This window comes from Homo sapiens, chromosome 2, assembly GCF_000001405.40.
Source record: "Homo sapiens chromosome 2, GRCh38.p14 Primary Assembly".
NCBI lineage: Eukaryota > Metazoa > Chordata > Mammalia > Primates > Hominidae > Homo > Homo sapiens.
The window spans coordinates 135,867,649-135,886,684 of NC_000002.12; the positions used below are offsets into that span (position 1 = coordinate 135,867,649).

General features: G+C 43.4%; 1 protein-coding gene across 1 annotated transcript in view, besides 4 other annotated features; it reads right to left on the reverse strand.

The window, feature by feature from the left end:
• The window catches only part of MCM6 (minichromosome maintenance complex component 6), a 36,818-nt gene extending 28,023 nt beyond the window's left edge, over nt 1-8,795 (reverse strand). Inside the window, exons 1-4 of the mRNA NM_005915.6 lie at nt 8,611-8,795; nt 5,049-5,195; nt 2,603-2,713; nt 963-1,212 (exon numbers count right to left, since the gene is read on the reverse strand). Of these exons, the coding sequence (NP_005906.2) occupies nt 963-1,212; nt 2,603-2,713; nt 5,049-5,195; nt 8,611-8,717 (615 nt within the window). The 5' untranslated portion in view covers nt 8,718-8,795. The remainder of the gene's footprint in view (nt 1-962; nt 1,213-2,602; nt 2,714-5,048; nt 5,196-8,610) is intronic.
• Nucleotides 7,885-8,420: an enhancer, noted in NCBI's record as "H3K27ac hESC enhancer chr2:136633103-136633638 (GRCh37/hg19 assembly coordinates)". NCBI's record gives its function as "activates a minimal SCP1, AML or CMV promoter by ChIP-STARR-seq in primed H9 embryonic stem cells {active_cell/tissue: H9 hESC(primed)}" and the evidence as "EXISTENCE:reporter gene assay evidence [ECO:0000049][PMID:30033119]".
• Nucleotides 8,190-8,319: an enhancer, noted in NCBI's record as "active region_16578". NCBI's record gives its function as "activates an Ori minimal core promoter by ATAC-STARR-seq in GM12878 lymphoblastoid cells {active_cell/tissue: GM12878}" and the evidence as "EXISTENCE:reporter gene assay evidence [ECO:0000049][PMID:35858748]".
• Nucleotides 8,390-8,549: a silencer, noted in NCBI's record as "silent region_11983". NCBI's record gives its function as "represses an Ori minimal core promoter by ATAC-STARR-seq in GM12878 lymphoblastoid cells {active_cell/tissue: GM12878}" and the evidence as "EXISTENCE:reporter gene assay evidence [ECO:0000049][PMID:35858748]".
• Nucleotides 9,010-9,069: an enhancer, noted in NCBI's record as "active region_16579". NCBI's record gives its function as "activates an Ori minimal core promoter by ATAC-STARR-seq in GM12878 lymphoblastoid cells {active_cell/tissue: GM12878}" and the evidence as "EXISTENCE:reporter gene assay evidence [ECO:0000049][PMID:35858748]".

The following is a 19,036-nucleotide window of genomic DNA, read 5'->3' on the forward strand; positions in this document are numbered from 1 at the left end:
CATCCATCACCTCTTGCCCAGGTAACTGAAATTGCCTATTACCCTCTGTTAAACCCATCACGGACTTATTCAGTTTGCTTTTAAAAAAAAACACACAGGCTGGGTGCAGTGGCTCACGCCTGTATCCCAGCACTTTGGGAGGCAGAGGCAGGCGGATCACGAAGTCAGGAGATCGAGACCATCCTGGTTTAACACGATGAAACCCTGTCTCTACTAAAAATACAAAAAATTAGCCGGGTGTGGTGGTGGGCACCTGTAGTCCCAGCTACTCGGGAGGCTGAGGCAGGAGAATGGCGTGAACCCAGGAGGCGGAGCTTGCAGTGAGCCGAGATCGCGCCACTGCACTCCAGCCTGGGTGACAGAGAGAGACTGTCTCAAAAAAAAACAAAAAACAAAACAAAACAAACACACACCCACACACACAAACTACCTTCCCACTATATTCCCACTGCTTATTAAGATAGGCTCAAACTCCTCAGCCTAAGATTTAGGGATCCAAGTACCTCCAGGTCTCACATCAAATCATCTCTCAGATGATCTCCAATTTGGCTCCTTTACTTCAATCATGATAATCCTCATTGCTTCCAAGCTAGCCTGTCCTATTCATGCTTTCCTTTCTATGCAGCAAATGGAAATCTTACACTAACAAGTTGCTATTTCTTTAAGTTTTCTTAACTCCAGTTCATAATGACAACCACCACCACCTAGTTACCATTTATTCTTTGACAAATACATCTTGTCAGTCTTAAGGAACTTCCAAGTTACTGAAAGTTAAAACAAATGTATATACTAACAATTATAATTTACATGAACAGTTTTGGGCTTAACTTTGTAGTCATTTTGATGATGCTTAACTTACATAAAAATTGAGTTGAACATTATCTAAATAAGCTATTGCAAGGGCCTAGAAGTGAATTATTATCATAGATGGACTCTGATCTAAACAGATGTTAAATAAATACCTTTTGAAAATCAACAAATCTTGATTTATTTGTATCCAGTAAGAATCTCCTCCTGTTGGCACAAACTGGATTTCGGCAGATGTTTGGCTGTGTGTATTTGAACTGCTGTTCTACATCCCTGATCACTGTCTGACAGTCCAAGCACAGAAAAGTTCCGCTCACAAGCTCTGGGTGAACTGGGTGAGTCCGCACCACCTGCCCACTGATGCGAGTGAGCAAACCAATTCTGGATGAGGTGAGCTCTCGAATCCTGTTTAAAGACAAATGTCCCATTAGTAAACATTCATCTCTTAACTAAGAATCTTTCCATTTTAGTGAGAGGGTATTCAAAGATAATTTATGTTTAAAAAAAAAATTCAAGAGACAAGGTATTCTTTGGACTCTCCTATAAGAATAATTTAGTCAACGTGCCCAATCCTAAATTATATGACGTATATGTATCCAGAACAAAATATATAAATGAACTAAAGGATGCCAAAAAAATGAAAATTAAAATTATAAAACAGAACGGGCTGGGCGCAGTGACTCACACCTGTAATCCCAGCACTTTGGGAGACCAAGGTGGGCGGATCATGAGGTCAAGAGATCAAGACCATCCTGGCCAACATGGCGAAACCCCACCTCTACTAAAAATACAAAAACTAGCCAGTCGTGGTGGCGGGCGCCTGTAATCCCAGCTACTCGGGGAGCCGAGGCAGGAGAATTGTTTGAACCCGGGAGGTGGAGGGTGCAGTGAGCCAAGATCGTGCCACTGCACTCTGGCCTGGGTGACAGAGCAAGACTCTGTCTCAGAAAAAAAAAAAAACAAAAACAGAATGATCCTGTTTTTGTTTTATATGCAAATACTTTTTTGCTTACCCGCAATTTCTAAAAAAAAAAGCATGTGTTACATAATAATCCTATCATGAGAAAAAATTTTGTACTCAAAGTTCAGAAACACTTCCTTTACAAACCCATTTTATGTGAAGTAATTTGGTAATTTTATAATTTCAGTAGTTTAACTTTTCAAAATATCACTTCAATTTTATCCAGTAAATTTATTCTTAAAATAACTGCCAAAGGGGTGTTTGAAAATTATGCATTTAAACCAACAAAAATTTCCAGAGATTCAGGAATTTCTAGAATTTCATATTTTCTCCCTTGATCAATTTTCTCCCAAATTTCCCTAAAAGGCGCCCTAAAATGTGATAATCCTAAAAATTTGCTTCACTCCCTTTACATCTAATCCCATCTCCATAGGAAAATACATTTCTCCAACACTAAACTTTCTGGATAAGTGGGTATAACTCCTACAAAAGTCAACCTTCTACAAAATCTGAATGCAAACCACTATTTTTTCCTCCTGGTATTTTACAGCATCAATTTTATAAGTACTTGTTTTATAATTATTGTGATTATCAATTATGAAAAAGTAATTTTACAGCAACAAACCTATTTTTTGCATGATTTAGGTAGAAAACCTAAGCCAAAAGACTTCACAGACAAGGAAACTGAGGCTCAGGGAGGTAAAAGTGATTTGTATAATGTTAAATAGCCAGCTAATAGCAGATCAAGGCAACCTCTCAAGTTTTCTGACTGTCAGCTAAGTGGTACTTATACCATTTGGTGAATTCCTTTTTTTCCAGAGAAGGGTTTCTTACTTGTGTCTGGTAGGCAGGTCTTGGAATGCAACATAAAAATCCTTGGCAAGAGGGATCTCTTTACGGTCTTTGACGAATGTTTTCAAGGCCCGACACAGGTAAGGGTAAACTCTGAAAAACAAAAAAGTCAGCTGATACCTTAGAGGTTTACCAAGGCCTCCTTCCCTTTACATACCTACCAACAGCCGAGATTAAGGAATTTCATCTGGTTACAACTAAACCTTAGAACTTAACTGTGTAGGACACTTCTATTATCTACTCTAGGTTTAGGACCCTCTTTCAGTTCTCTCCTATCCCACCGGAACACTAAATATAAAATGTCATACCATACCTGATTATCATATAGCACATAAATAATCATACAGCACCCACACTGTTGGCCATTCCTCTGTCCAAGATGACTAGCTGAACAATCATCTTGTCAATATTATGCTCAATACTGTGAATTTTCTGTGGGCTGTTTATGACTTAGTAAGTCATGTGTCAAGTCAGTCAATTTCTTTGGTTTCATTCTGAGACAAGGTCTCACTCTGTCACCCAGACTGGAGTGCAGTGGCACGATCACAGCTCACTGCAGCCTCAATCTACCTAGGCTCAGGTGATCCTCCCATCTCAGCTTGCTGAGTAGCTGGCACTACAGGCATGCACCACCATGCCCAGCTAATTTTTGTGGGGTTTTTTTTGTAGAAATGGGATTTCACCATGTTGTCCAGGCTGGTCTCAAACTCCTGGGCTCAAGTGATCTATCCACCTCAGCCTCCCAAAGTGTTAGGATTACAGGTGTGAGCCACCACATCTGGCTGGTTTGATAAGAAATGGATGAGGACAGGAGAAGTATTTGTGCACTAATGTGAGAACAAATTGGCAAAAATGCTCCATTTGACTGGTGAGAGTGAAGTATGCATGTCCTTTTGATATGTTTCTAATACCTACTCCAGCTTAGTTTGTTTAAGAAGTGGGGTCTGAAACCCTCTAAAAAAGGCGCTACTCTCAGGAAAGAGAACTGCTGCCTGGCTTGTGCATGAGGCATGGCACAGCTGCTTCTACCACCAGGCTTGATTGTCTACCTCTCCCTTATTTGTCAGTGCTATAACTTCTACTGCTGCATGCTTTCACAATAAATCCTGTTGCTTACTTACCCCCTCCAATTATTCTTGATCATCAGCTATGACCAGAAACACAGACAAATCCTCCATCTCCTAATCTACTAAGAAATGAACGAGACTGTGCCTCCTTATCCCTGGGTTTTCATTTATCTTTCACAACTGTCCACAATTTATTTTAACCTGATTCTATTTCTATAGACTGTCACATTTATTTAATCCTAATACAAAGTCTTGTGTGCAAAGATGTTTCTTGCTATATATAACAAGTCAAAACAAAATAAAAGCCTTCTATTAAATATAATGTCTAACCATAGTATTTCTACCAAAAAACCACAATTGGAGCTATTAGTATGAGTTTAAGAAATTTTATATGAATTTGAGTAATTTCATACACAGCATACACACAAAGACATCAAAATGTGACAGAAGATCCTTACAAAACTCTGCACTTGCAGACTTGGAAGGCTCCTGGAACTCTGTTGTAGCAGATCTGCTAATGACGGTGGTGGATTACAAGTGTATAAGCAATTTAATTCTCCTTACTCTTCTCCATTTTCTACAATATATACCTATTACTTTTATAAGCGAAAACAAAATTAAACTTTAAGGGAACAAGAAGTACAACAACGTCAATGCTGTAAAGATATCCCCAGTACAAGAAAAGGACCCACACAAACACCTATTCCTGTGGGGAAAAAGGATCAATGGAATGACACAAAAGTAAGTAAGTACAGTTTTCCTCTTGGGAAAACTATATAGAAAGCAAAGATTTTCAACATTTGTATTTGAAAAAAAAAGTTCAGCTCTGGCCGGGCACGGTGGCTCACGCCTGTAATCCCAGCATTTTGGGAGGCCGAGGCGGGCGGATCACCTGAGATCAGGAGTTCGAGACCAGCCTGACCAACATGGTGACACCCCGTCTCTATTAAAAAATGTAAATAATTAGCCGGGCGTGATGGTGGGCGCCTGTAATCCCAGCTATTCGGGAGGCTGACGCAGAAGAATCGCTTGAACCCGGGAGGCAGAGGTTGCAGTGAGCCAAGATCGCGCCACTGCATTTCGGCCTAGGTGTGACAGAGCAAGACTCCGTCTCAAAAAACAAACAAACAAACAAACAAACAAAACACAACAACAAAAAAACGTTCGGCTCTACAAAGGCCTACATGAAGTTCAGAGCAGTACTAAAACGACCACTGGCAGTATCAAAGCGCCTCTTCTCAGTGGGAAATAACTGTGAAAGCTGACCTTCTGCTACACAAGTGAACACTTACAGTCCAAGAAGAGCTGGCTTCCCGGATTTCAACCCCTATTCAAAGTAAAGAAGATTAATATGCCCATACCTATAGAACTCCTCTTGAATGGTGGTGGAAAGTTGCTGGTTAAATTGTTCCAGGTCCACAAAACTCACAACCAATGTGTTTCTCTCAGGACGAATCAGTTCCTCTGCTAATTGCAAGTATTTAATTTCTCCATCGCTGCTCTGAAACCTGCAGGTACATTCGAGTCAACTAGATTAAGGACACAGGCAGTACAAAGAACCTGAATGATAATTCAGAACATTGGTTAAAGTCCAACAACTAGGCTCAGACAGGCCCATGTTTGGCAGTTCTGTAACTTGGGGCAAGTTACTCCTCCCTTCTGATATGGTTTGGCTGTGTCCCCACCCAAATCTCGACTTGAATTTCCACATGTTGTGGGAGGCACCTGGTGGGAGTTAATTGAAGCATGGGGACAAGTCTTTCCCCTGCTGTTCTCTGATAGTAAGTCTCACGAGATCTGATGGTTTTAAAAAGAGGAGTTCCTCTGCACAAGCTCTCTTTGCCTGATGCCATCCACGTAAGACATCAGTGACTTGCTCCTCCTTGCCTTCCACCATGATTGTGAGGTTTAACTGCTAACTAACAAAAAAACCCAACAACTAACTCTTCTTTTACTACTGTCATGTATAATTAAGATTGGAAAATGTTAAATCAAGAAATTCAGTCTCAAACCCAATGATTCCATTTCTGTAGGGAATTTGCAAACTAACAAATTAGTCAGGGATTTAAGAAGCAGAACAGAAATAAGAATACATGGAAATGAGGTGTTTCACAGCCCAAGACTTCGGGAAAATTGAAACAGGCACACTAAATAAAGCTGCTGGTATTTTTGCTTCTAAAGCCCAAGCAGGATATCATACAAATTTATTTCTGTTCTTTCAAACATAATATGCAGATTCGCCTTAAGAAAAAATCAATTTCTCCTCCATATACAGCATGTTCTGACTCCTTAAAATATTTGTTAAACAACTACGTGCAAAGCCCTATAACAGAGGTACCTGAGGCTGAAAATGGCAGTGTTGTTCCTGCCCTAGGGTTAACTAACACTTTGTCTGCGTCTAGGGAGTTAGACATGTAAGCAATGAAGACAGACAAGAAAGATGTTCCTGTTAATGAGAAGAACAAGAAATGTGCTAGGGGAATAGAAACTAATTCTGCCTAAAAAAACAACTACAAGTTATACATATAAAAGGTGGCGTTGGAATTCAGCTTCTGAAAGAGTTAAAAATTTCAAATAAAAACAGGTGGTGAAGTGACTGACTAGATGATTCCAAGAATGTGATTAAGTCAGAGAAGGTAGGGGAGAAGTGTGGATGATGACTGGGGTGTTTTTGTAAGACAAACAGGAAAGAGGAGTGATGAAGAATTTGAACTTTATTCCACAAGCAATGGTGAATTAAAGTTTATTTTGTGACAGGGAGTTGGCATTTCTTTAAACAAAGCACAGAGATTATTTGTCTCATCATTATCATCTAGCTGCAAAGTCAAGGCACTTAGATTATTTGTTGAAATGAAACGTTTATTGAAAAACCTTTGTAATGTGATGTGGTGGGTAGGTGGGGTTGAGGATGGAATTTGAATTCCAGACTAAGTAGCTAGGAGGTAAATGTGTTACACTGCCAGAGATAATGAAAAACAAACAGCACCCTGGGAGCCTAAGGAAGAAAGGATTAGTGCCTCTCAAAAAGGTGTACAAGGTTTCACAAAGGTGTGAGTTTTTAGCTGGGCTTTGAAGGAGGAACTATCAGGCAGACAATAACATTGCCATAGGTAGTGAAATGGAAATTAAATTATGGTTTTAAGTATACCAAAATTTCCTAAGAAGGCAGCATTATTCACAATAGCCAAAAGGTGGAATGAACCTCATTATTCACAATAGACAAAAGGTGGAATGAACCTGTGTCCACTGAATGGATAAGCAAAATGCAGTATATATACAGGTTGAGCAGCCCTCATCTGAAAATTTAAAATATGAAATGGTCCAAAATCTGAAACTTTTTGAGTGCTGACATGATTTTCACTGGAGCATTTCAAATTAGGGATGCAATTGGTTAAGTATAATGTAAACATTCCAAATCTGAAAAAAAAATCCAAGATCCCAAACTCTTCTGGTCCCAAGCGTTTCAGAAAAGGGATACTCAATGTGTACAGACAATGTTATTTAGCCTTAAAAAGTAAGGAAATTCTGACACATGCTACCTCGCAGAGGAACCTTGTAGACATTATGTTACACAAGCCAGACACAAAAGGACAAATACTACACGCTTCCACTTATATGAGGTACCTAGAGTGGTCAAACTCATAATGAAAGGAAGCAGAGTGGTGGGTGACGGTGGCTGAGGGAGAGGGTAACGGAGGAGAGTTCGTGTTTAATGGGCACAGAATGTCAGTTTGGAAGATGAAAAGAGTTTGGAGCCGGACACGGTGGCTCACGCCTGTAATCACTTTGGGAAGCCCAGGCGGGGGGATCACCTGAGGTCGGGAGTTCAAGACCAGCCTGACCAACATGGAGAAACCCCATCTCTACTAAAATACCAAATTAGCCGGGCGTGGTGGCGCATGCCTGTAATTCCAGCTAGTAGGGAGGCTGAGGCAGGAGAATAGCTTGAACCCGGGAGACGGAGGTTGCGGTGAGCTGAGATGGTGACACTGCACTCCGGCCTGGGCAACAAGGGCTAAATTACGCCTCAAAAAAAAAAAAGTTTGGAGATGGGAGAGTGGTGACGGCTGCACAACGAGGTGAATGCACTTAGTGCCACTGGACTCTACACTTAAAAATGGCTAAAATGGTCAACTTTGTTATGTATATTTTACTAAAAAAGAACTTCAAAAGCCATTCCAAACTGCTGACCCTTCATCCTGGAGGCCGTGGTGTATCTGCTCCAGGAAAAATAACCGGTGGGTGAGGCAAGCCAGGGAGGAGGTTGGGGTTATGAAGCTAGGAGCCCAGAGGCACAGAAAAAAAGAAGAGTAGAGAAAGGAAAGGAAGGCCAGAGGGAAAGGGGAGCAAGGGACCCAGAAGAAGGGATATGGTGAGCTACTCTCTGCAGGGCAGGGCTCCGCCCCCCAGCAGCTTTCAAACCACAGTTGACGCAGAAACTTTCATCAGCACAAGAGGCGAGGGTGGCCCGTGCCCTGCGAACCCCCAGCACCATGCTCCCGGCTGCGTGGCCCAGCAGGGCACCGACGAGATTCAATGGCACTTCGGCCTCCCACTCGACCTGGCCGCACCCAGCGGCCCAGTTACTATACTCAGCGAGCCCAGGTTTCCGCGCCGGTCACCGAGGGCTGTGCAAATACCAGGCTCGCGGGGTGGTGAGCATCAAGTGACAGAAGCAAAGCGCTGAGCACTGGGCACGAGCGTCTTAGGGCTCGAGATGGGTTTTACTCCAGAAAAACCCAGCCTGTCCCAGGCTCCTCGCGGCCGCCGGGCTCGGAGCCTAAAGTTGGGGGGCGGGCGGGGAGGCGCTTCCCGGACGCGCGACCCCCAGGTTCCGGAACACCCGCCGCCCACACGGCACCGCCTGGCCCAGACGCCGCAGGCTCCGGAGGCGGGCGAGGCCCGGGGCGCTCGCCGACTTACTCCTCCAAGAAGTCCAGGAACAGTTTCTGGCACTTCTCGGCCACCTCGTCGCGGACCTCCAGGTGCTGGCTGCCGGCGCCCGGCTCCGCTGCCGCCGCGAGGTCCATATTTGCTTAGTGCCGAGGATTCGCCTGCGCCACGCTCGACCGCCACAAGTCGCTTTTTTCCAGACGCTGCAGCTTTGCGCGCGCCGCCGCCGCTTCCGCCCCGCCCCCTCTTCCGACCTGCACGGCCGGAACCAATCGTGACACAGGAGCTGGAGATTTCGCGCCAAACCTGACCAATGAACGGCGCCTCTCCAAGAGCCCCAGCCCACGGAAAGGGATTTCGCGCCAAATGCAAAGCCCTTCTGGAGAAAGCCCATCTGCCTTTGCGCCTGCGCAGTGTAGCCGTGGCCCGCGGGTATTTTTGGCTGCTGGAACAAGTTCGAATCTGAGGGTTTTGTCCGAGTGGTTTTTCAAATGTTCTTTAAATCATTCCACTGATATTAATTGAACGATCGGAGTAAGACTCTATGGAAGAGAAAAATGAGTAAGCCGCTTCTGCTGTCTAGTTAGAGGAAATAATGGAAACCACAGTATAAAACCCTGTAAAAGAGTCAAAGAGATGTCTAAACCTTGCATGGGTAAGGTGGCACAATTATTGTGGTGGTGCTGACCGAGGAAAATCAGCGAAATATTTGACATTGGCCGGGCGCGGTGGCTCACAACCTGTAATCCTAGCACTTTGGGAGGCCGAGGCGTGTGGATCACCTGAGGTCAGGAGTTCGAGACCACCCTGGCCAACATGCAGAAACCCCATCTCCCCTAAAAATACAAAAATTAGTCGGGCGTGGTGGTGCACGCCTGTAATCCCAGCTACTCGGGTGGCCGAGGCAGGAGAATCGCTTGAACCTGGGAGGAGGAGGTTGCAGTGGGCCGAGATCGTGTCACTGCACTCCAGCCTGGGCAACACAGTGTGACTCCGTCTCAAAAAAAAAAAAAAAAAAAAGAAAGAAAAAGAAAAAGAAAGAAATATTTGACACTTTGATTAATCTTTTTTTCTTTTTCTTTTCTTTTTTTTTTCAGATGAAGTCTCACCCAGTCGCTCAGGCTCGAGAGCAGTGGCGCGATCTCGGGTCACTGCAACCTCCAGCTCCCGGGTCCAGGGGATTCTCCTGCCTCAGCCTCCTGAATAGCTGGGATTGTAGGCGCCCGCTACCATGCCCAGCCAATTTTTGTATTTTTAGTAGAGACAGGGTTTTCGCCATGTTGGCCAGGCTGCTCTCAAACTCCTGACCTCAGGTGATCCGTCTGCCTCGACCTCCCAAAGCGCTGGGATTACGGCCGTGAGCCACAGCGCCCGGCCTTAATACCCTTCTTAAAATGCACTATTGGCTTGAGTTATCCTTATGTTTTTTTCCCCCATCTTTCCCTAACCATTTCACTTGGTTTTTCTGCCATCTCTTTGGCCATTCCTGATTAGCATCCTTTGTAGGCGCCTCTCCTTCAGTGAGTCTTTTAAATGTTCTGGTTCCAGAGCCTTCTTTTCCCGTAAAGTCGCTCTCTTGGGCGACCCTTTACACTCCCTTGGCGTTAATTAACATCTGGGTACTGATGATATCTATATGTGTATTTCACCAACCAGTACCTTTTTTTGGCCTCCAAGACATTAAGAGAAACGGGGACCACTTCCATTTTTTGAGGCTTGTTGCATATTAAAAATATTTTTTCTTTCTTTTCTTTTTTTGAGACGAGGTCTTACTATGTTGTGCAGGCTGACCTTGAACACCTGGTCTCCAGCAATCTGCCTGCATCCGCCTCCCGAGTAGCTGGGATTTCCTGCCACCACCAAATCCAACTTATTGAAAAATTTTTTCTTTTTCTTTTTTTTCTTTCTTTTCTTTCTTTCTTTCTTTCTTTTTTTTTTGGAGACAGAGTCTCGCTCTGTCATTAGGCTGGAGTGCAGTGGCAGGATCTCGGATCACTGCAGCCTCTGCCTCCCAGGTTCAAGCAATTCTTCTGCCTCAGCCTCCTGAGTAGCTGGGACTACAGGCGCACACCGCCACGCCCGGCTGATTTTTTTTGTTTTTGTTTTTTTGTTTTTGTATGTTAGTATAGACGGGGTTTCACCATGTTGCCCAGGCTGGTCTCAAACTCCTGAGCTCAGGCAATTCGCCCACCTCGGCCTCCCAAAGTGCTAGGATTACAGGCGTGAGCTACCGCGCCCGGCCTGAAAAGATTTTAAAATGCCAAACAGAGTGGACAGAAGCTCAAGTAATTATTTTAACATACGTACAAATACACTATTCACAAGATATTTACAGAGTTTAACAAAAAAGCTCAATGCTGGCGTGTTGCAGTGTATCTGTAATCGTATGTATTACCTCATTTGAAAATGAACACTCGGCCGGGCACGGTGGCTCACGCCTGTAATCCCAGCACCTTGGGAGGCCGAGATGAGCGGATCACGAGGTCAGGAGATCAAGACCATCCTGGTTAACACGGCGAAACCCCATCTCTACTAAAAATACAAAAAAATTAGCCAGGCATGGTGGGGGGCGCCTGTAGTCCCAGCTACTCGGAAAGCTGAGGCAGGAGAATGGCCTGAACTTGGGAGGCGGAGCTTGTAGTGAGCCGAGATCGTGCCACTGCACTCCAGCCTGGGCGACAGAGTGAGACTCCTTCTCAAAAAAAAAAAAAAAAAAAAAAAAAAAACCCGAAAATGAACACTCAGCCGGGCGCGGTGGCTCATGCCTGTAATCCTAGAACTTTGGGAGGCCAAGGTGGGTGGATCACTTGAGGTCAGGAGCTCCAGACCAGCCTGGCCAATATGGTGAAACCCCATCTCTACTAAAAATACAGAAATTAGCCGGGCGTGGTGGTCGGTGCCTGTAGTCCCAGCTACTCAGGAGGCTGAGGCAGAGAATTGCTTGAACCCAGGAGGCAGAGGTTGCAGTGAGCCGAGATCGCACCACTGCACTCCAACCTTGGCGACAGAGCAAGACTCTGTCTCAAAAAAAGTAGAAAAGAAAAGAAAATGAACACTTGAGGCTCTGTGTCCTACAGCCCTTTACCAGCTCTAGAGTCTGCCTGCCTACCGGACATCACCACTTGTACATATTTTAGGAAGCTTGAACTCAACAGTGCTTCCTGGATATTCACAACCCGATTGAGCTAACCTGATTCTATTCCATCCTCTCAAAAGGCCTCACTCTTTTCTTTCTCATTTTTCTTCTTCTCCCTTCTCTTCCTCTTCTATCCTCAGGATAGATTTCTCAGAACTAAAGTCCCATGTACAGAAGGAAAAAAACAAAAATGATAGTGCAGAGCTCCGGGCTGATTTTCAGCTATGCTCATTGAGAAACTCAAGGCTTCCTCTTCTCAGCTCTCCATATCTCACAGGTGTTCCCTTCCTCCTTCAGACATGTATCTCTGAATCAGAATAGTAGATGATGTCTGTAAGTGAGGTTTGTAGGGATAACTTCCACAACAGGAGGAGGGTATGAATTATGAAATATCTCTGTCACACCCCAGAAAGTTGTATGCTATGTGTGTGCACTGGTGCCCAGGCCTGCTTGCTATCCTTAGAAAGTCCTGTTCACAAGATTGGCCTTTGGCTGGCATTGGGAACTTGACTGGTAAATAATTCTCTACATCGATATAACACTATCCCTTGATAATGATGGCTCATTGTACCTAAACTGTACAATGTGATTTATGCTGAATACCTGGAAGTCTAAAATTTTTTTTTTTTTTTTTTTAAAGACAGGGTCTTGCTGTGTCACTCAGGCGGGAGTGCAGTGACACAATCACGGCTCATTGCAGCCTCGACTTCTTGGGATCAAGCGATCCTCCTGCCTCAGCCTTCCAAGTAGGTACATGCCACCACGCCTGGCTAATTTTTGTATTTTTTGTAGAGACGAGGTTTGGCTGTGTTGCCCAGGCTGGCCTCGAACTCCTGGGCTCAAGCGATCCTCTTGCCTTGGCCTCCCAAAGTGCTGGGATCACAGGTGTGAGCCACCACACTGGGGCCTTTTTTTTTTTTTTTTTTGAGACAGGGTCTTGCTGTGTCACCCAGGCTGGAGTGCAGTGACACAATCATGGCTCACTGCAGCCATGACCTCCTGGGCTCAAGTGATCCTCCCACGTCAGCCTCCCACGATGTGCACCACCATGCCTGGCTAATTTTTATATTTTTTGAAGAGACAAGATTTCCTCATGTCACCCAGGTCAGTCTTGAACTCCTGGGTTTGGGCAATCCTCCCAAAGTACTGGGATTACAGGTGTGAGACACCATGCCCAGCCATCCATGATTCTTTTTAAAAAATTATTTTAGAATAGCTTTGGATTTACCAAAAGTTGCAAAAGATAGTACAGAATTTTCAAATACACCTTGCCTATTTTCCTTTACTGTGAATATCTTACACTCTTATAATACATTTATTACAACTCAGGAACCAACTTTAGTATGTTAGTATTAACTAATATTGCACAATTTATTCAGATTTCACCAGTTTTTCCCTACTGTTCTTTTTCTCTTCCCAGATCTCATCCTGATGCCACATTACACTTAGTGGTCATGTCTTCTTAGACTCTTCTGGTTTGTAACAGCTTCTCAGACTTTCCATAGTTTTAATGCCAATGTCTCTCAGTTGGGATTTGTCTAACGTTTTTCTCATGATTAGACAGTGATTATGGGTTAGGGAAGGATGATCACAGAGGTAAAGTATACGGTTTCTTACCATTACCTTATGATTTTGAAGCAAAACATTGTATCTTTTCATTTGTAGATATTTCAGAATGATTTTCTAAAACATAAGGGTTCTTTTTCCTGAGACATGTTTTTAGCTGGGAAGGAAACATCCTTCAAACAGCTGTAGCAGTGCAGGTTAGTGATGCTTATTATTTTAAATATAACTGTAATATTTTCCAGAATCACTGACACTTCAACTTACACTAAATAAAACCAGCAGATTAAAAAGTTACATGATTTGTTGTGGGTGGTGTGCAATATTCAATAAGATATTTCTCATATTATGAAATATTTTCTTTCAATGCAGTCAACCCTCATCTTATAAAATATTTGGTATATTTTACTTCTTTTTTATTTATTTATTTAATTTTTTGAGACAGCATCTCACTCTGTCACCCAGGCTGGAGTGCAGTGGCACAATCACAGCTCACTGCAGCCTTAACCTCCTGGGCTCAGGTGATCCTCCCACCTCAGCCTCACAAGTAGCTGGGACTACAGGTGTGCACCACCATACTCAGCTAATTTTTGTATTTTTTGCAGAGATGGGGTTTCACCATGTTGCCCAGACTGGTCTCAAACTCCTGGGCTCAAGCTATACTCTTGCCTCAGCCTCCCAAAGTGCTGGGATTATAGGCATGAGCCATTGTGCCCAGCCCGTTCTACTTCTTATTAACAACAACAACAACAAATGTATGCTAGCTGCTAACCAGTTTTTAGCAGTATGACTTTCTTCCTAATTACTTAAATAAGCAAAGTTTGATCTTGATATCTAACAAAATAAGTTCAACTATGATGTCTAACAAAATAAGTTCAAATAATGGCAATTTTTAGTTATTTTTATATGATTCTTAGTTTTTCCAAAAGCTGAACACCAGAATTCCATACACACACACACACACACACACACACACACACACACACACACACAGAGTTAATTTTATGTGCCAACTTGAGTGGGTCATGGGCTGCCCAGATTAAATATTATTTCTGCTTGTGTCTTTGAGGGGTTTCTGGAGGAGATTAGCATTTGAATAGACAGAATCTGTATAATAGATTGGCCTGCCCAGTGTGGGTGGGCACCATCCAGTCAGTTAAGGGCCTGAATGGAACAAAAGACAGAGGAAAGAGGAGTTTGCCCTCTTTTCCCTGCCTTACTGCCTGAACTGGGACATCTTGTCTCATCGTATGCCTTCAGATAAGATTTACACCGTTGTCTCCCCTGGTTTTCAGCCCTTCAGGTTGAGACTGAACTACCTACCAGCTTTCCTGGGTTTCCAGCTTGCAGATGCCAGCTCATAGGATTTCCCAGTCTCCTAATTGCATGAGCCAGTTCCTCATAATAAATCTGCCCCCCCCCCCCTCCTATTAGTTCTGCTCTCTGGAGAACCTGGCTAATACACTCACTTTTAACTTTCATATACTCCTCAATTCATAATAACCTATCATTTTAAATATACTTTACATTATATTATAAATTAAGAAATATGAAGCTGCATACAAATTTACTCTTGTTTTATAGCTACCATAAAATGCTTTTATGTCCCCCTTAAGATCCTCCCAGGTTCACTTGTCTGTCATTCAGCTCCATATGGGCTCTGAGTCGCTCATTGATGACTCTTGCCCTCTGTGGCTCTCAGGCTTCTCCGTCGTCCCCACTGAGTAACAGGCTCATGCCTCTCAGAAGCACCTTGAAGGAGAGAGGGGTTAAGGCCCTGGAGAATCCTTGACATTGGTCAAAGACATGAGTCAGTGATTAAATTTCTTCTCTTTAACCAATCCTCTGCAGATGGATATTTAGGTTAGGTTAGGTTAGGTTAGGTTAGGTTATTTGCTCTCTGCTCCTCCGTTAGAAATAACAGTACAATTAGCATCTTTGCATGCATGTATTTCTGGAGGTTAAGTTTCTGGAAGAGCTAGTCCTGGGTGAAAGGGTATGAACATTTTATGTTTTCATAAACTGCCCAATTGCTTTTCAATAAGGTCGTATCAATTTGTTCTCTTATCAATGCACATGGCATTTTCATTTTAAGTAAAATAAGAACCTTAAGGCAAATGGATTAAGTTCTGATCTTAGAATTACAGGCTTCAATCTGTCAGTGGGAAAGGATTATTTGGGGATTAGAAGCTTCCTGATGTCTCTAAAATCTCAGCCATCCCCACACTGCTCCATTCATTCATGTATTCAATCATTCTGTGTCAGGTACTGTGATAGGTACTAGTGATATTGTAGTGAACAAAACAGACACAAGTCCCTGCTTCTCATGAAGCTTACATTCTAGGGGGCGAGGTGCACTGGAGCACACTGAAGAGTTTGATACAATTCATTCCTTCTTGATTTTGAGCCTCAACAAGAAAATTGCTTCTGTTACTATATTACAGAGCCCAAGAATCACCCAGTATTTCAGAGAGATTTAAAACCCATCTCCATGGCTTGAGATTGAAAAAGAAAATTTCACATGCCACTCTTCTAGACATAAAAGAGATCTGTACTCCTCATGTGCAGCTGTAGGAGGCTGCACAGGCAGCATGGGTTGACCTTCACTTTCATTAGCCCCAGGAGATATCCTAGAAATAGCAGACCATTAAGTCTCACGTATGGTCCATGAAAAAAAAAAAATAACAGACCACTGGGTTGACAGGGAGCTCAGAAAAAGGTGCACTTTCAAGCAATTCAGGTGGAACCAAATGAAACATTTTTTCTGATCTGAATGCAAGTTATTCTGAAGTAATTAAAACAAAACATGAAACAAAAAAACCAAAATGAGCCCATGGTGCTCTCAGCAGTTGCAGAGAGGATTGTATGAGTGGTGGCAGCTTTGTAGAAAGCATTTAGTTGCACAGTATGTGGCAGGCATCAAGGATGGCTAGTTTGATTCCTAGTGTGACTTCAACTAAAATGTCCAAGGGCATGGTATGTGGGGGTTTTGTTGTTAGGTTCCTAATTAACAAGAATGAAGGGCTGACGTGTTCTATGATATGATTCGTCTCAGTGTGTGCATTCTGTCCTTCAGTCTTCTGCTGTCCTTCAGTCCATCCTACTGTCTGGGTATCCTGCAGTGGGCAGCCATGTTTGTGGATAGGGCTCCTGGAAACTTACAACCTAATGGTGGAGGCAGGATATGAACACAACTACAATTTGCAGAGTGATATGCAACTGTACCAAAAAACATAAAGTGTAAAGTGAAATCAAAGTACAAGGTTACAGTAGAAATAAAGGATCCTAATTAGGATATTTACTGTAAAAAGAGATAATCTACTGGGAGGCCAAAAAAATCACTGATTTCTTATTTTATAGCAAATTATAATTTAAAATTGCAAAAAATATACATTCATTGAAGGAAAGCAGAAATACAGAAAAGCAAAAAGAATAAAAACCACCCCAAATTGTACCACACAGAAATATTATTTAATATTTTGATGAATTTCATCCTTTCATATGAATTTCATTATTGTATAAGCTCCTTTTAAAATAAATTCAGGCTAGGTGCAGTGGCTCACGTCTGTAATTTCAGCACTTTGGGAGGCCAAGGCGGGTGGATCACTTGAGGTTAGGAGTTCGAAAGCAGCATGGCCAACATGGTGAAACCCTGTCTCTACTAAAAATACAAAAATTAGCTAGGTGTGGTGGTGCACCTGTAATCCCAGCTACTTGGGAGGCTGAGGCAGGAGAATCCCTTGAACCTGAGAGGCAGAGGTTGCAGTGAGCTGAGAAGTCACCACTGCACTCCAGCCTGGGTGACAGAGTGAGACCCCATCTCAAAAAATAAATAAATAAATAATAAAAGAAATTCAACAGTATATCATAAACATCTTTTCAGTTGATAAATATATTTCTGTATTATTTTAATGGCTACGTCTATTACTATAAAGACCATCCATGTAGTATATTTTTACAAATTTAAATCTTTAGATAATTTTGATGAGAAATTAATGAGTCAAAGGGGAGTCACATTTTTTTTTTTTTTTTTTGAGACGGAATCTCGCTCTGTCGCCCAGGCTGGAGTGCAGTGGCATGATCTGGGCTCACTGCAAGCTCCGCCTCCTGGGTTCATGCCATTCTCCTGCCTCAGCCTCCGGAGTAGCTGGGACTACAGGCACCCACCACCACGCCTGGCTAATTTTATTTTTTTATTTTTAGTAGAGACAGGGTTTCACTGTGTTAGCCAGGATGGTCTCGATCTCCTGACCTCGTGATCCGCCTGCCTCAGCCTCCCAAAGTGCTGGGATTGCAGGTGTGAGCCACCGCGCCCAGCCTGGGAATCACATTTTAATACTCTTAACACATCTGCCAAAGTATCCTCCAGAAAACTTGCACATCCTCACCGGCATATGATAGTGCTGTTACAATTATTTTTCTCCTTGTCAAATTAAAAGGGGAAAAATGAGACCATGTTTACTTCTTACATATATTTTAATAATTTCCTAGGGCACCTCACCAGCTTTCAATCAGTCCAGTTCAGTGGATTGCACTCAACCAGGATTTCTTGGATTGTTCCATTGTATCTTGTACAAGGGTGTTCTCTCCTCTTGCATTTCACACAAAGGGTGCTCACTCTGAGAGTACATCTTCCTCATTGTCTTAGTCCTCAGAAATGGATATCGGTGTGCAGCAGGTTTACTGGGGAGTGCTGTGGGGATCAATAGCTAGTGGGGACAGGGAGAGCATGAATGGGCAGAGGTAGAAGTCAAACTGCTGTGCAGTTGCAACAAAGACCTCGGTGGAGCCCACAGGGAGCTCCGCAGCTCAGATAGCCCTTCAGAGTGGCTCCAAATCAGGCAAGGGGGCTGGGCCTTTTACCCAGCATCAACCAGTCATGGGATGCAGGCTGCCCTTGGGGAAGTAGTGTAAATGTGGGTGAACCAGCTTATTTTAGTCAAGGGTAATTCCTAGGGAGAGAGGAGAGAGGTTAGCTATGAGCTGTCAATAGTCAACGAGGTACTAAAGTAGGTTTCTGGGCTGCACATCATGGCATCCACTAGAGCCCACCCTAGCACCTGCTCTGTATAGTAACAAGACTGCATTTCAGAACAGCACCTACAAGATCCTGGTTGGCCTCTTTTCCTAAGGAAACTTACAAGAGGAAGGCTAATAGGACGAAATTCAGCTGTTGCAGCTGGAGCTGAACTTGAGCCTAAAATTGATACTGATCATGATTCCCTCCTCTACAACCCATTCCTAGATTCCCCTCTTAGCTAGCACCTTTTCTAGTCTAGGTGGTTTACCTGGCGGAGTGACACAGACCTTCATTCCTGAAGGACCTAAGTCTTTGGTCACCATACTTTTTTAGGCCACGGCTGGTATACTTGTCCTTTACTGTCAAAACTGGTTAGTGGTTGTATGAGAAGTGCTGGATTACCTGGGTGTCAAACCTTTATCCTGCTCCCACTGTATAACAGATACCTGACCTCTTCTTGCTGCTCAGGTCAGTTAAACCCACTAATATTATGACTGTTTGGCTTGCCGGCAGGCATGTGGAGCCTGAAATGGCAGAGCAGCAGTGACAGTTTCAAGTTTCAAGGAGCTCTTCTTGTGTCTCCTAGTGCAAGTGTTAGACCTGTGGGAACTAGGATATATAGAACCACAGAGTCTGCAGCTGTGGGGAAGGAAGCACCAATTTCCCAAGTGGATCACCGGAAGAGATGGTGTGCAGGGCCACTCCTTCCACCTCTTGTATCCTGGACCCTTGTATTC